General features: G+C 38.3%; 1 protein-coding gene across 30 annotated transcripts in view, besides 1 other annotated feature; it reads left to right on the top strand.

The window, feature by feature from the left end:
* Positions 1 to 18,081, top strand: part of RPGRIP1L (RPGRIP1 like) — a 105,707-nt gene that overhangs the window by 5,143 nt on the left and 82,483 nt on the right. For 28 of the 30 annotated variants that reach the window (XR_007064862.1, XR_007064860.1, XR_933260.4 and 25 more), the window contains exons 3-6: positions 2,422 to 2,566; positions 6,353 to 6,651; positions 10,752 to 10,854; positions 12,141 to 12,284. Coding sequence is in view for 26 of the 30 variants with exons in the window: in NM_001127897.4 (NP_001121369.1) it covers positions 2,422 to 2,566; positions 6,353 to 6,651; positions 10,752 to 10,854; positions 12,141 to 12,284 (691 nt within the window). In the remaining 4 variants the exon portion in view is untranslated. Of the gene's footprint in view, positions 1 to 2,421; positions 3,087 to 3,258; positions 5,406 to 6,352; positions 6,652 to 10,751; positions 10,855 to 12,140; positions 12,285 to 18,081 lie in introns of those variants that run through there. The other 2 variants (NM_001328422.2, NM_001328423.2) reach the window with 2 other exon arrangements.
* Positions 5,073 to 6,313: an enhancer, noted in NCBI's record as "VISTA enhancer hs59". NCBI's record gives its function as "enhancer in: branchial arch[8/8] | eye[8/8] | nose[8/8]" and the evidence as "EXISTENCE:transgenic organism evidence [ECO:0001131][PMID:17130149]".

Genomic DNA, 18,081 nt, shown 5'->3' with positions numbered 1-18,081 from the left:
ACCTCCCTCCCGGGCGGTGCGGCTGGCCGGGCGGGGGGCTGACCCCCCCACCTCCCTCCCGACGGGGCGGCTGGCCGGGCAGAGGGGCTCCTCACTTCCCAGTAGGGGCGGCCGGGCAGAGGCGCCCCTCACCTCCTGGACGAGGCGGCTGGCCGGGCGGGGGGCTGACCCCTCCACCTCCCTCCCAGACGGGGCGGCTGGCCGGGCGGGAGGCTGACCCCCCAACCTCCCTCCTGGACGGGGCGGCTGGCCGGGCAGAGAGGCCCCTCACTTCCCAGTAGGAGTGGCCGGGCAGAGGCGCCCCTCATCTCCCAGACAGGACGGCTGGCCGGGCGGGGGGCTGACCCCCCACCTCCCTCCCGGACGGGGTGGCTGGCCGGGCGGGGGGCTGACCCCCCCACCTCCCTCCCGGACGGGGCGGCTGGCCTGGCGGGGGCTGACCCCCCACCTCCCTCCCGGACGGGTCGGCTGCCGGGCGGAGAGGCTCCTCACTTCCCAGACGGGGTGGCTGCCGGGCGGAGGGGCTCCTCACTTCTCAGACGGGGCGGCTGCCGGGCGGAGGGGCTCCTCACTTCTCAGACGGGGCGGTTGCCGGGCGGAGGGTCTCCTCCCTTCTCAGATGGGGTGGCTGGGCAGAGATGCTCCTCACCTCCCAGACAGGGTTGCGGCCGGGCAGAGGCACTCCTCACATCCCAGACGGGGCGGCAGGGCAAAGGCGCTCCCCACATCTCAGACGATGGGCGGCCGGGCAGAGACGCTCCTCACTTCCTAGATGGGATGGCGGCCGGGAAGAGGCGCTCCTCACTTCCTAGATGGGATGGCGGCCGGGCAGAGACGCTCCTCACTTTCCAGACTGGGCAGCCAGGCAGAGGGGCTCTTCACATCCCAGACGATGGGCGGCCAGGCAGAGACGCTCCTCACTTCCTAGACGGGGTGGCGGCCGGGCAGAGGCTGCACTCTGGGCACTTTGGGAGGCCAAGGCAGGCGGCTGGGAGGTGGAGGTTGTAGCGAGCCGAGATCACGCCACTGCACTCCAGCCTGGGCACCATTGAGCACTGAGTGAACCAGACACCGTCTGCAATCCCGGCACCTCCAGAGGCCGAGGCTGGTGGATCACTCGCGGTCAGGAGCTGGAGACCAGCCCGGCCAACACAGCGAAACCCCGTCTCCACCAAAAAAATACGAAAACCAGCCAGGCGTGGCGGCGTGCGCCTGCAATCGCAGGCACTCGGCAGGCTGAGGCAGGAGAATCAGGCAGGGAGGTTGCAGTGAGCCGAGATGGCAGCAGCACAGTCCAGCTTCGGCTTGGCATCAGAGGGAGACCGTGGAAAGAGAGGGAGAGGGAGAGGGAGACCGTGGGGAGAGGGAGACCGTGGGGAGAGGGAGAGGGAGAGGGAGAGGGAGATTGATAAACTTTTCATATGTTTAATGATCATATGAATTTTCTGTCAGTGATGTTCCTGTTCAAGCAGCTTGCTCATTTTTTATTGAGTCATCTTTTTTCTTTCTTTTCTTTCTTTTTTTTTTTTGAGACAGAGTCTCGCTCTCTCACCCAGGCTGGAGTGCAGTGGCACAATCTCAGCTCACTGCAACCTCCGCCTCCTGGGCGATTGTCCAGACTTAGCCTCCTGAGTAGCTGGGACTACAGGTGTCCGCCACCATGCCCAGCTAAGTTTCGTATTTTTAGTAGAGACGGGGTTTCACCATGTTGGCCAGGCTGGTCTTGAACTCCCGACCTCAGGTGATCCACCCGCCCCAGCCCCCCAAAGTGCTGAGATTACAGGCGTGAGCCACCAAGCCTGGCTCGGAAAATACCAAATTTAAGCGTCTGTAAAAAGAAATCATAAACACATGCTAAAGAGTATAAACGTTCTTAAAATTTATATAAGGTAGTGTAAAGAGAAATTATTTGTGAAGCTTTTAAATGAAAATTTTTAAATTTAGGGGTTTTTTGATTTGGTCTTACAACTTTTATAGTTTGTTTTCTAAGACACTCATAGCACAGAAAAATATCTTAGTTATATTATGTTTACCAAATTACTCTTACTCTTGCCTTTGTAAAAAAATAAGCTTCGGATACTCTTTTAGTTGTCACAACATTCAGCAGGTAAATTCAAAAGTCTTTATTGAATCAGAATTCCATCTTATATTCTTAAAGAACGGCACTTGAATACATTTTTGAATGGATACTATTGTTATTCAAATTCCTAAAACTGTATATAAAGTATTAATAGCAAAGATTTTTATTCTCACCTTAAATAATTGATGTAAACAATGGTACAACATTTTCTAAAGCAATCTTAACTGTAGGTCACAAAGGAAAAAATCTCAGATGAGTGCATCAGAGATTATATTAATATCAAGAGTTTCTAGAGACTATTTTAAGTAACCTCACAATTAATTATCTTGGCATTTTTGCAGAAACTTCAACAACACGGACAATGAAGTCTCGCCAGGCAGTGTCACGTGTCAGTCGTGAGGAACTGGAAGACAGATTTTTGCGTTTGCATGATGAGAACATTTTACTTAAACAGCATGCCCGCAAGCAGGAGGATAAAATTAAAAGGTTATGATAAAAAGCTTTTAGCTTTTTTTCTTGACTCAGTAAAATTTGGAGGGTATGGTATTTTATAAACTTAATTGAATACCCCACCTTGAATCTTGTTTGGAACAAGGCAGGATGTAAATAAGTACAATTTTTAAAAATGGAAAATCTTGCAAACTAGAATAATAAACCAAAAAGATTATGAGTGTTTATTATGTCTGAATTTGCTATTTAAATGAAAAAAGCTAATAGAGTGCCGTTAGTATATCATACCTATAAATAACTTTTGGTTTAATATTTATAGTTTAATAAGCAAATGGCCAAAGCATCTGTTTTTTAAATGTCTTGATTTTAAAATGAAAGTTTTAAAAAGTAACTAACTATTCTAACTTGTTAGAATGCACATTCCCTTAAGATTTGGGGTTTACTAATGAAAACATCACTTCAGTCTCTGGAACATATTTAACTTTGCTTGGGTTATACTAGATTCTATATTGATTTCAAAGAGTCTCTACTGTTTCTGAAGAAACAGTATTGTCACTTTTGATTTATGTGCAAAAAATCTTGGCAAAAATGATTTCTTAAGAGTAGATACTCTTTCATTCTTTTTTATTCAGAAATGCTGTGCCTATTTTCTGAGGGGAAGGCATTAAAAACAAAGTGTGTTCAGATGTGTAATCATGAGCAGGTCTGTATTCATATTTATGTTCTAGGTTCAAAGAAAAGGTGAGACAACCATTGAAGAATGAAAATAGGGTTTTTCTGCTTAGAATCCATCCTAAGGAGGTGGTTCCAGTTCAGTTTCTACTCTGTGGACTTCAACAACCCACTGGCATGCTATGTGCAGGCCTTTTACTTTGAGTTGGGTTTTAGTCATGATGATGGCTGTTTTCAAGATTTGTGACTCACTTGCCTGATTCCTTTTCTGACCATTATCCCACACACATCAGCCAGTCAGAATGAGGCATGTAGTCTGCTATGACCACCTAACAATTTTTTTCTTTGTAAGCCTAATTGGTCAGTAAAAGAATCGAATTCACATCCTTGACCTCATTAGTAATTTGTCATAGCCAGAAAATAAAAAACAACTGAATAATGAGCCATGTAGTTTAATGGGAAAAGGACTGAGCTAGGAATCAAGTTGTATGTATGCATTCTGTTATCTCTCTGCCACTAGCCTGTGGTATGTATGTTCAAGCCATTTAACCTCCTGAAAGTTCGTTTTACTTTAGCTACGAGAATAATGATCCAATGAACACTATGACCCAAAAGCTCTAAATGCCTCTCGATCTCACACCACTGACTGTGACCTAGATACATGGGTAGAACTGTCTTTAAATTTATCTTTTAGAAGTAAATAGGCCAGGCACAGTGGCTCACGCCTGTAATCCCAGCACTTTGGGAGGCTGAGGCGGGCGGATCACTTGAGGTCAGGAGTTCAAGACCAGCCTGGCTAACATGATGAAACCCCATTTCTACTAAAAATACAAAAAATTAGCTGGGCATGGTGGCACAAGCCTGTAATCCTAGCTACTCGGAGGTTGAGGCAGGAAAATTGCTTGAACCCGGGAGGCAGAGGTTGCAGAGCCAAGATCGCGCCATTGGACTGAGCTTGGGCAATAAGAGCGAAACTCTGTCTAAAAAACAAAACAAAACAAAAAAGTAAATAGTTTATTTTCTATAAATGTAGATTTTATAAACTACCTTTTTATTTTTTAATTTTTTTTTTTTTTTTTTTTGAGAGGAAGTCTTTGTTGCCCAGGCTGGAGTGCAGTGGTAAGATCTCGGCTCACTGCAACCTTCGCCTCCCGGGTTCAAGTGATTCTCCTGCCTCAGCCTCCCGAGTAGCTGGGATCACAGGCGCCTGCCACCATACCTGGCTAATTTTTATGTTTTAGTAGAGACGGGGTTTCACCATGTTGGCCAGGCTGGTCTCAAATGAACTCCAGACCTCAGGTGATCCGTCTGCCTTGGCCTCCCAAAGTGTTGGGATTACAGCCATGAGCCACCTCGTCTAGCCAAAACTACCTTTTTAAATAAGCACTCAGACTTTGCCAGATCACGTATGATTCATTAATATGATAAAATAATCAAATCCAGCAAATGGAATGTATGGCTATTACGAGACAAACAGATGCAATCATGTTTCTTGACAAAGTTTATTTGAATATCATTTGAAGAATTTAAAGATACCCTGCCTTAAAAATTAGGGTCATTTATTTTTACCTGGGTGTTAACTGCCTTTTTATATTAAATCTGTGTCTTTCTTTTGAATGTAATCTACATCTCTGTGTGAAAGTCTCTCTGTAACAGAAAATTCAGATATTTAGGTTGACGTCTCATTCATATGACAACCTTACTTTTGTGCACAGGCCATTGGGTGGGGCTTAGGACCCTAAACTCATTAAAGGGCCAGGTAGAGTGTGTGGCCCTCTTGGACTGTGATACCTGGCCAAATTTCCCAGTGATATATCATTCTCGGAATTAGGTGGAAAAGGAACTAATCCATTGATTATTTTACTAGAGTGTTTGTGGTACTCTTGGATCTTGGTTTTTATTATCCTGTATCCTTTATAAAGCATGCTTAATGGATGTGCCTCAAGGGAAAGAGAAAACAATCTTAACTGATTATGTTATGCATAGCTCTCCCTGATGCCACATGCTGTAGGCCGAGTAGCCAGAGTGTGGATAGACATGTATTACTACCGCATTTACAGCGGACTCTGCTTAGGGCAGAAAAAAGGTTGTTCTATGACATCCCAAAGCTATTAAAGGTTTTTTTATTTCACTTTTGTTCCCTTAAGTAAAAGCTTCTGTCCATAACCACGCTAAAATAAAGCAAAACCCATTTAAAGAAAAATGAAGTGTGTTTTTATTTTCAATCTCCTGTCTGGGTCTTTATAAAAATAGATTCACTATAAACTAGAATCAGCTATTGAAGATGTGCGACCAATTTTGTAAAGTCTTGAACTTGTGTCTCTCATCAAAGCCACCTTTTCTTTCTTGTCCTGCCAAGATTTTTCCATTCACTGTCAGGCATGTTTTCCGTACGTGTATATTACATCACCCCCATGTGCCCTTTCTGTCTTTTGTTCTTTCTAACCAGTTTTTATCAAAACTTAAAAGAATCAAAGGTATAAACTCCTGAGATGTCAAAAGCACAATTTATGTCCAAATTTAAAGATAGCATTAAAATGATACTTTTGCATCTAATTATTTTTTACCATTAAACACAAGTGTTTCTTGAGCACTAAGCAACATTTATTGGTGCATTTTGGTTTCTTTTGAATTTTTCATTGGGCTTTATATGTGTGCATTTATGCATTCTAACATTTTTATATTTATAGTGTGTCTTAATCCTGGAGAAACTGAAAACAATATATTACCTAAATGCTGCACAGTCTTAACACACTTTTCAAAAGTTTTAACTTACTGTGGATTGCAGATATAACCCACCACATCCACAATCTGTAACTACACTTAAGTGCGTACAGCATTCCTATATAAGGTCATGCGTTAAAAATTGCGTTTCAGGAACATATGGAGTAAATATGTGTCCTCTCTTTACTAACCTTAAATGATAAGCCTTAGGAAACTGTTATTTGTCAGTGCTATAAAGCAGATTGTTGCCCAGTGGTTTCAATTATCATCAAAGGATTCTTCACAGGCAGTAATAGTTACATCAAAACCTGAAATTTATTATTCAGGTTCTGCACTGAAGTCTTCACAGTGATTATGTTCCTTTCAACAGAATGGATTTTATGCTGACTTCTCACATTCCTTTTCATCTTTTTATTATTTCCCCAGAATGGCCACCAAGTTAATACGGCTAGTTAATGACAAGAAAAGATATGAGCGGGTTGGTGGCGGCCCCAAGCGGCTGGGACGAGATGTGGAAATGGAAGAAATGATTGAGCAGCTGCAAGAGAAAGTTCATGAGCTTGAAAAACAAAATGAAACCCTCAAAAACAGACTGATTTCAGCCAAACAGCAACTTCAAACCCAGGGTTACAGGCAAACTCCATACAATAATGTACAATCTCGTATTAACACTGGGCGTAGAAAAGCAAATGAAAATGCTGGTTTACAGGAATGCCCCAGGAAAGGTAAAACAAAGCTTACGTTAAATCTAAACTGAAGTCTTATTAGATTGTTTAACACAAAAAAAACACAAAGTTTTACTTCTGTATTACGCATGCTTTTAAGTGTCTTTAGGAAGAGAAAAATAATTTTTTACTTTGATAAAATAATATTGTCAGTGAAGATTATTTAAGAATCACTAGATCAGTCTCAAATTTGTTTAGTAAAAACATTCCACATAACCTTAATGTAAGAGATGTGTGAAACTAAGTAAAATGAGTTGAATTGCGTTTGGGTTGGTTAAACCCACTGTACTCAGGCAGGTGGGGAAACTAGCTAGTTTGCTTACATATGACCACATTTACTGTAATGAATGATCACATTTAAGTTCTTCATCCAAAGACCTTTTCGAAATTTGCAAAAGTGTTGAAATCTTTCTCATTGGATGGCGGTAGCATGACATGGCATGTGCATGTAACCAGGGGTTTAAAAAGTTGGGTCCTTATTTCTACACTTACTGGCTGGTGACCTTAGACAAGTCTCCTAATCAATCTGACCCTGAGTTTTCTTTACATGTAAAGTAAAAGGATTGAAACAAGTAAGGATAAAGGTCTCTTCCATCTCTAAAAATGATCATAGGCCAATCACTTTGTTCACTTTAAAAATTAATAACCTAAAATGTACCCAAGTTGCAAAGTAATTAAATTGTGTAGACAAGACTCAATATAGAACATAAATATTTCTAATAAAAATTTTCAATTCTCTTCACCCACAGAGAAACTTTATTATAATGGAACCACAATTCAATAAATATCTTAAGTAACGTTTTTAAAATTTCAACTAGTAGGAAAGGAAATTAGGTTTTAGCTCTAATTGGTTTTTGTTTAGACTATACTTTACATAAAGACCAAACATTTTTAGGGATGTAAAGTAGCATGTAAAACTTTAGTTTCAATTCTTTGAGGAATTAAAAAAAAAAAAACGAAAAACCACTATGAACAGAAAGGGAGAAAAATTTGTTGTAGTTCGCTCTTGAAGCCAAAATGTTAGCACTATCTTTTCCCTAGATAGAGTTCCTTTGAAGTCAATAAGGCCTCCACACAGGCAGGAGGCAGCTGCAGGATGAAAGGGCTTGGCTACTCCTAGCTATGTGAGATTGGCAGTAGACTCTGAATACAACTAAAGTAAGCATAATGAATTATAAATTAGAAAGTACATTCTGCCACTGAGTAACTGTTTTACATGGAAGATAATACTGACCTCAGCCTCATTTTCCCCATCTATAAAATGGAGTGGTAATAATCCAGCTTAGATAAGAGATCAGGAGATGGTGGCTCCCACAATAATATATTTTACCTTTAAAGTGACCTATCCTCTCTGAACCTTAGTTTTGCCATCTGGAACTGGAACTGGGCAAGATGATCTCTAAAGTCTGCAAGATCTTTTATACTAAATAAAAATAATGTTCAAGCTAGGCACAATGGTGTACACCTAAAGTCCTCGAGAAGCTGAGGTGGGAAGATTACTTGAGCCCAGGAGTTTGAGTCTAGCCTGGGCGACGTAGTGAGACACAGTCTCTAAAAATAAGTGAGTCTAGGCTGGGCGCAGTGACTCACGCCTATAATCCCAGCACTTTGGGAGGTCAAGGCAGGTGGATCACAAGGTCAGGAGATGGAGACCATCCTGGCCAACACGGTGAAACCCCATCTCTACTAAAAATACAAAAAATTAGCTGGGCTTGGTGGCACGCACCTGTAATCCCAGCTACTTGGGAAGCCGAGGCAGGAGAATCACTTGAACCCAGGAGGCGGAGTTTGCAGTGAGCCAAGATTGCACCATTGCACTCCAACCTGGGCGACAGAGGAGACTAAGTCTCAAAAATAAATAAATAAGTCTATAATGCCCAGATTTTACATTAAATCTAAACTGAAGTCTAATTAGATCATTTAACACAAAAAAAGTTTTGTTTCTGTATTATTCATGCTTTTAAGTGTCTTTAGGAAGAGAAAAATAAGTTTTGACTTTCTCTTTGATAAAATCATAATATTGTCAATGTTAATTAAAATGGCAAGCTAATCTAGTGCTATAAATTGCTGTTCAGACAGGAGAGTTTGCTGGAAGTTTCTCCCTATAGCGAAATTAAGAGCCACAGATCAGCAGACTCTTAAAAACATGACTACATACTTTAATTTCTCCTTACATTTGTACTCTCTTGGTGATTCAGACCTTTCTCACTGTTCAGGATAGAGTTCAGGACATGGAAGTGACACAAAGCATTAAGTAGTGATGAATACTTTCTTAATCCGTCTTTATGAGTAAACCTGAAGCATCATTACCAAAACTGACACTTTAACAGGCTCTCCAGGACTACCTTTGAGGCTGAGACAGGCGAGACTTGTCAGGAAAATATCTCAGCCTGGGATGGCTGGCTAAGAACCCTAAAACCCCTCTCTGGCCACAAGCAACCTTTACCATCAAGGTGCTATACAAATACTACTGTTTTCTGTTTGTGCCTTGTCAGGATAAAGGATGGAAAGCACTGGCTAAATGTGTGATCAATGTAATATAGAAACAATACTTATTATGAGGAAACAACGGAACAAAGATTTTTGTAAAGCAAAGGTTTTGAAATGTAACCATTGGTAGAGAGTAGAATGATAGTTACTAGAGGCTGGGAAGAGTATGGGGCGCTGGGGAGGATGAAAGGAGGTTGGTTAATGGGCACATAGATACAGTTAGATAGAAAAAATAAGAAAAAGTTCTAGTGTTTTATAGCACAGTAGACTGTATAGGCAACAACAGCATACTGAATATTTAAAAATATCCAGAAGAGATTTGAAATATTCCCAACACAAATGATAAATGGTCAAGGTGATGGATATCCTAAATACCCTGATTGGATCATTACACATTGTATGCATGCATCAAAATACCACATGTACCCCAGTGATATGTACAAATATTATGTATCAATCTTTAAAAGGTTTTATATATATATATAACATATATATAACATATATATATATATAGCCATTGGCAAATCACCATGAGACTGTAAGTTTTAAGATATGTTTTGATTATTTTTTATTTCCACTAGTAATGTTGAATTTTTTCATGGTATATGTAGGAAAAGCGTAAGAATTAGCATTACTGCCAAAATAATACAATTGGCAAATTCTAACACAGTAAACTATTTTAATGTTTTAGGCAGAGCCTTTTCTATTCTTCTGGATTACAGCAATAGATATTGACTACTTTGGAAAGAGCGAGTAATAGTTCCATTGTTCTAGTTAAAATTCTCTTTTTTCTTTATTTAAATTTTCTCTTTACTGAGAATATGCAGAGCAATGAAATCTCACGTTTAAAAAGTTAACTTTTCTAAAGGAATAAATTTGTTGTTTTGTTCTCCATTTAAAAACCTTAATCATCTGTGATGCTTTATCTACCTTAAACTCTAATATTTAGTTATTCTATAAATGTAAAATAACTCACATAATTAAGAATATGCCTTATTTTAAACAATGGGACTGTCTTTGTAAAATTCTACAGATTTCTATAAGAAAAATTATATTTTAAGTGCAGCAGGGAAATGTTTTATTTAAAGGAATTCTTGCGATGATCCATTCTCAAAGTACCTTTTCATAAATAGGGATTTTGTTATTGGGGTGGAATAAATCAAAATACAGAAAACATTTTTACTTAAACATTTAAGGGCAAGGAATATGAATAATTTAAAAATTTAAAAAACCCTTATCACAAACACTGGGGAAAAAATCAGGTTTTTATAACCTATTTACATTGTTAAAACTTGAATAGAAGACTGATTTATTTCAGAAATTACTGCAGGAGTCTAAATCTTAAGTTGAATAAAATTATTTCTAGGTAATTTGATTTCTACAGTAGATTTGTAAAATGAGCAATACTTGCTGCTGTGTTTTATTTAATGCCTACTGGTGGCTGAGATCACATATTCCCTTTGGCAGTGTATTTATAATTCTGTGTACTATAAAACACATACCTCTTAATACTTAAGAGATTTTATTATAAATATCCTTATTATAGCAAATCAAAGATCCTTCTTTTCTAACTTCAATTCTGTAATCATATTTTATTACTTTGTTTTTAGGTATAAAATTCCAAGATGCAGATGTAGCAGAAACTCCACATCCCATGTTTACAAAATATGGCAACAGTTTACTTGAAGAAGCCAGAGGAGAAATAAGAAATTTGTATGTGTTCTTTTTTGTGGTAATTTGAGAACTTTGGTTATTGATAATGTCTTTTTTTTTTATCCTTCCCTTTCCTTTATTTATATGTAAACAGTTTGCTCCACTGAAATACAGCTATGTTCTGTAGGGTAACAACAGATGTTATATAACATGTTCTCAGAAAAAGGAAAATGAAGAACTTATCCAGCTGCCTCAATGGAAGGATTTATGTAATAGTCTTCTTTATTATAATTTGACCCTCAGAGGAATGGCATAAAGTCCAGTCAGTTAGAATAGTGTAAGATTTAGAGGCAACATTTTTATTCCCAGAAAATCACAGGTAATTTTTTTAGATCCTGAATCAATTAGCCCTTTTCTTGGTTAAAAAAAATAAATAAAGAATTGGGGAGTGGCATAAAAGTTTGGAGTTATCAGATACATATGGATTTCAGATTTTGTTTTCGTATGATTCTATGGCACTGCATTCTTCATCATATGGTTTCAAAAAAGTTACTTCTGCCACATTTAGCTTACTTTTCTAGTTAATCCAAGCCTCATGGTTTCAGTGTCTGTGAGTTACACAAATGAAGGTAAGGTTCCACTTTAAGCCTTCACCTGGATCATCAAAAAGTAACAATACTTCATGAGAAAAGAAAACATGGCGCACAGTATCATACTTAAGATAGTTGCTTAAGAATAATATGGTCTTCAAATGTTTCCTTTTGAATATTTTAAATAGCAGCTACAGTAATGATTAGCCTGCAGGAAAATAAAAGACTAGACATAACCTTGTTACCTGATGATCACCTGAAAAGCCAACGTTTATACCGGTTCCTGAGACTCATTACAGTGTGATGCTGCCAGACATGATAGAGATAAATGCATGCCAGAGACCACTAAGTTATATTTGGCAAATTTCCTGCCCTCTCTCTCTGAAGTGTTAATTTGGGTGTTATAAGCAGATGTGCATATATGAAAGAACAAAGACATATAAATATTCTGAAGACCAGATTGTGGCATACATAGTAGGTGTACTCCACAATAAATACTTACTCAATTGAATCAAACCAAAGTCCAATCCATTGCCTAGGACATTATCTTATAAAAAGCAGTATCTTGCATTGTTCCGTATGTATTTCCAAGTCATCACATTTAATCTGCTACTATTTCACTGTGTGCAGAGGCACTTAAGCTAAATTTTTTAACTTCTGCTTGCTCTTTTTCATGAAGAACTTTCTTTGCACTGATCTTAACTATTGAAAAATTTTCCTCAAACTACAAGTTCTTACAGAGGCTCTTTATTTCAGAGAAAACGTTATTCAGTCACAAAGAGGCCAGATAGAGGAGTTAGAGCACTTGGCTGAGATCCTGAAAACTCAGTTGAGGAGAAAAGAAAATGAAATTGAGTTATCTCTTCTTCAGCTTCGAGAACAGCAAGCTACAGATCAAAGGTATGTTAAAACAGAAATATCACTTTGATAAGGTCAAAATTAGTTTAAAATACTTTATCATGTGCCATAAAAGGATAAGTTTATCTAGTCTATTTAAAAATCATGTTTTTACTTAACATTCTTCATATAAGCCTATGCTCGACCTACTAACTGCTGTCAAGAACTCTAGTCTAAAGACAGTTTTCCCTAACCTGCTGTGCTTTTAAGCAGCTTCTGATGCGTGGAAATCACCCTCATCTTGTTTTCTATGTTCATTTACCCCATTTGCCAAGATTGCAGGAAGTTCTGATACCATTTGATTATAACTACTGAGAGAAATATGGGTGACAAGAACTCAACTGTTGGCATATCTTGTACATAAGTCCAGCATTACTTTTTTCAACCTTAAAAGATAGTAAATTCCATAATATGGTACCAGTTTGTAATCCCAAAAAGATCCCTAATATTCCAAGTTTGGATTGCAATCTGTTGGCTGTGATAAGATTACAGTTGGTCCTGTAGATAGTCTCCTTGCTGCCTTTTCATCTATGACATTAAAAAACTTTTTTTGTTATAATTTCCAACTTTTAAGTTCAGGGGTACATGTACAGGATGTGTAGGTTTGTTACATAGATAAATGTGTACCATGGTGGTTTGCTGCACAGATAATCCCGTCACCCAGATATTAAACCCAGCGTCCACTAGCTGTTCTTCCTGATGCTTTCCCTCCTCCCACCCCTCACCCTCCGACAGGCCCCAGTGTGTGTTGTTCCCCCCACCCTATGTGTCCATGTGTTCTTATCATTTAGCTCTCACTTAAAGTGAGAACACGCAGTGTTTGGTTTTCTGTTTCTGCATTAGTTTGTGAAGGATAGTGGCCTCTGGCTCCATCCATGTCCCTGCAAAGGTCATGATCTCATTCCTTTTTATGGCTGCATAGTATTCCATGGTATGTATGTACCACATTATCTTTATCTAGCCTATCATTGATGGGCATTTAGGTCAATTTCATGTCTTTGCTATTGTGACTGGTACTCAATGAACATACGTGTGCATGTGTCTTTATAATAGAATGATTTATATTCCTTTAGGTATATACCCAGTAATGGGATTTCCTTGTCGAATGGTATTTCTGCCTGTAGGTCTTTGCGGAATCACCACACAGTCTTACACAATGGTTGAACCAAATTACACTCCCACCAACAGTGTAAAAGTGTTCCTTTTTCTCCATAACCTTACCAACATCTGTTGTTTTTTGACTCGCCAGTCTCACTGGTGTGAGATGGTATCTCATTGTGGTTTTGGCTTGCATTTCTCTAATGATCAGTGATGTTGAGCTTTTTTTTTATGTTTTTTTGGCCACATGATGTCTTCTTTTGAGAAGTGTCTGTTCATGTCCTTTGCCCACTTTGTAATGGGGTTGTTTGGCTTTTTTTTCTTGTAAATTTGTTTAAGTTCCTTATAGATGCTGGATATTATACCTTTGTCAGATGGATAGATTGCAGAAATTTTCTCCCATTCTATAGGTTGTCTGTTTACTCTGTTCATAGTTTCTTTTGCTGTGCAGAAACTCTTTAGTTTAATTAGATCCCATTTGTCAATTTTGCTTTTGCTGCAATTGCTTTTGGCATCTTCGTTGTGAAAACTTTGCCCATGCCTATATGCTGAATGATATCACCTAGGTTTTCTTTTTTTTTTTTAATTTTATTATTATTATACTTTAAGTTTTAGGGTACATGTGCACAACGTGCAGGTTTGTTACATTGTATACATGTGCGATGTTGGTGTGCTGCACCCATTAACTCGTCATTTAGCATTAGGTATATCTCCTAATGTTATCCCTCCCCCCAACCCCCACCCATAACAGTCCCTGGTGTGTCATGTTCCCCTTCCTGTGTCCATGTGTTCTCATTGTTCAATTCCCACCTATGAGTGAGAACATGCGGTGTTTGGTTTTTTGTCCTTGCGATAGTTTGCTGAGAATGATGGTTTCCAACTTCATCCATGTCCCTACAAAGGACATGAACTCATCATTTTTTAAGGCTGCATAGTATTCCATGGTGTATATGTGCCACATTTTCTTAATCCAGTCTATCATTGTTGGACATTTGGGTTGATTCCAAGTCTTTGCTATTGTGAATAGTGCCACAATAAACATACGTGTGCATGTGTCTTTATAGCAGCATGATTTATAATCCTTTGGGTATATACCCAGTAATGGGATGGCTGGGTCAAATGGTATTTCTAGTTCTAGATCCCTGAGGAATTGCCACACTGACTTCCACAATGGTTGAACTAGTTTCCAGTCCCACCAACAGTGTAAAAGTGTTCCTATTTCTCCACATCCTCTCCAGCATCTGTTGTTTCCTGAATTTTTAGTGATCACCATTCTAACTGGATATCACCTAGGTTTTCTTCTAGAGTTTTTGTAGTTTCGGGTTTTACATTTAAATCCTTAAATCCATCTTGAGTTGATTTTTGTATAAGTTGTAAGAAAGGGGCCCGTTTTCAATTTTCTGCATATGGCTAGCCAGTTCTTCCAGCACCACTTATTAAATAGGGATTGCTTGTTTTTGTCATCTCTGACATTTTATAATGTACGATATTTTATTTCCCATTCTTCTTTGCCATTTTTTGGTTCCTAGTACCTGTTCATTCATTTTCTGCTTTGACATTGTGCTTTCAACAATACTTTATCTTTTTAAATATTCTTTCTTGAATTATTTTTTCCCTTTCTGGATTTTTTTCTTTTTTTTTTTTTTGAACTAAGTGTACTCAAAAGTAGAGAATAGTATATTGAACCCCCACATACACATCACTCAGCTTTAACAACTATTAACATCTTACCAATCTTGTTTCATCTATCCCCTCACATTTATTTTTCGAATTATCCCCAGCCAGATATCATGTCACCTCACTGATAAATACTTCAACCTCTATTTCTGTCTGAAAAGGAATTTTTAAAAACATACCTACCATGCCATTATCACACCTAACAAAAATCACAGTAGTTCTTTGATATCGTCTAATAACTGGTTTATATTCAAACTTCTGTGAAGATGTCCTTCTACTGTTCATTTGAATTGGAATCCAAATAAGTTCTACACATAGCATTTGGTTATTATGTCTCTTTTATTTCCCTGGATTTTTTTTTTAAACCAGACCTAGTTGCTGTACTTACTTTTCTCCTTTCCAACAAGTTTGATATCATACTTGTATGCCTAGGTTCTTATTAGAAAAACCAAGTAAGATTTTCTGGCTTTTCATTTCAGATTCAGAGTTTATTCATCTTTTAACAAACTAAACTTATGTGGTAATGTATGAAGAAGCTAAGAAAGGATGCTTAATATCAGACTTGTTAAAAAAAAAGTGGGCTAAAAATATATAAGAAGCTTTATATTTCATAGATTTATCAGATTAGTGTTATCTCTAAAAATTCTATTCCTAAAAAACTATGTGTAAAATTAAATTATATGAGAAATCCTATATGTCTAGTGACATTATATACCCTTCTAAGTGCAAGACAAAAGAAACATGAATATTTTTGAGAATCATATTTAAATTAGGGGATATAATTTGAACTCTGGCTAAAGCATAAGCTTGAATACCTATGAGTTATTCATATTTCTGTAGGAAGAAGATTTAGATTTGGCCTACTTTAAAAACCAAGAATGGTTCCTTGTGAGAAACAGTGCTAAAGGACCAGACCTCTCAACACTGAATATGGTGATCTTAGTAAATGCCAACAGCCATGTTTAAGACATTGTCTGAATATAAAAATTCATATAGGGGCCAAGCTCAAGCTTGGGGCAGTCCCCATCTTTACTGAACCACTGAGTACAAGGTTATCAAGGATTGCTTTCCCTGTTACATTTCTCAAGTTTAGTGTAAGGTGGACACTGTATTGGCCATTCCCTTTTCCAAAGGGATGTAATCATTTAGGAGCTAGTGTTAACTGAAAGGGAAACCCAAAAGTCCTTCAATCCTGAAACTAGAGCAACAGAAGAAATAGAGTGATAGACAAGGGTACATACTTTCCTACTATAAATATTACCAACAAGAGACACCAACATGTATACATAGAAGAGGTAAGTCCCTCCTTAGGGGGCTATATTATTTACTCTGTAGCAGTCTATTTTTGTCACATCAAGAATTAAAGCAGAGACAAAATGGCTATTACAGGCAAAGGAACTTTTATTGCAGAGACCAGAGAAATAAATCAGTGTGTACCCTACCTCACTTGATCTTATAAAATTGAAAATTTACATGTTATTTGCTTAGAAGGAAAGATACCTATAGTGAATAGCATATTGTTGCTTGAAATACAGTTGTTGAAATTGAGGAAATAGCTTAAAATAAGGATGTTCAATGCCTTTTTTAAATGTTTACACATAGCTTATAATTTTATATGTAACAGCAATTTTTTTGAGACTAATGGAAAACTATTGAAAAAAATGTTAGGGAGAATATAAAACTTGGTATAATTTACTGTAGAGAAAAATCACAAAATGGGAAACATATTTAAACTTTTCTTTCACGGATACATTATTTCAGATTTGAAATTCTAGAAGTCTGATCTGGATGTTGGACTCCTTGTTCTCAAACATGAACCTAACGTAGTTGTAATCTTCAGAGTGGCAGTGCTTGATATTTATGGCAAAGAGCCTTTTCATAGAATATTACAGAAACTCTTCATAGTATGTGTTTAATAGACCAGTTTGGTTTGGCATCAGCTTGACATAAACTTTTGGTTATCCAAAGCCCTTAATTGCTTTGAAGTCAAAGCCCAGTGCTGCTCTTTTTTATTAAAATCATGTTTTTTCCTGTTGTTGTGGTCTATTTTGGGAGAGTGAGTTGTGATTTTTGCATATGTTCTACATAATGCCTCATTAGCAAAAAATCTTATATCATTTACAAGTAGCCTGAATGTCTGTGTTGTTTTGAAGAAAAATCCATATTAAATTTAAACAATATAAAAATGCACATTTTCTGCTTATTAAAAAGGCCGTCTTAAATTAAATTCAAAGCAGTAACCAGTGAACACATGTACATGAACGTTAAAATCAGAATGATTTTACCATTTACTGACCTTTTTCAACTCCAAAAATATTTATACTCTTACAAATGTGTAACTAGTTTGTACTAAGTGTTTTTTTAAAATAAATGTTAGGGTGTTTACCTTCTTAATTAGAAATCATGTAACTGCCATAATGTCCCAGTGGAGGAAATTTAACCCATAAGTATCTCAGACACTCTGACTTGCCTTCCCTTTGGCGGACAGCCGACTGTCAAATCTCGCAACAGAGAGGCCTTTTGCGCCATGCCTTGGCTTTCAGGGCTCACTCTTTCCCCTCTGCACAGATACAAGATTACTTTCTAGCACTCTAGGTTATGCCCAACTTTTCATTTTGAGAAATTGCAAACCTTCAGAAAAATGGAAAGAATAGTTGAGTGAGCACTCACATAACCTTTCACCCCTTAGCATATTTTTTGAATGGTACAACAAGCCTGTTTTTGCACTCGGCCTGCTCTTGCTTAAGCCTTCTTTCACTCAGCCTGTTTTCTTCTCTCAACATCTCTCATCTCCTCTTCCCTCCTATTTCTCCTTCTCCCTCCCTCTCTCTCTTCTCTTCACTCATTCCTCACTTCCCTTCTCTTCACCTCTCTCCCTTCCTTACTCCCATTAGGTGCATACATCACTTCACCCTCTGTACAGTTACGGGTAAGTATCTTCTAGGAACAAGGACATCCTCCTACATAACCACAATACAGCTATCACATTCAGAACACTTAACAATGAATGATACAGCCACAGCAT

The sequence above is a fragment of the Homo sapiens genome, chromosome 16 (assembly GCF_000001405.40).
Source record: "Homo sapiens chromosome 16, GRCh38.p14 Primary Assembly".
Lineage (NCBI taxonomy): Eukaryota > Metazoa > Chordata > Mammalia > Primates > Hominidae > Homo > Homo sapiens.
This window is presented reverse-complemented; position numbering and strand designations above follow the sequence as displayed.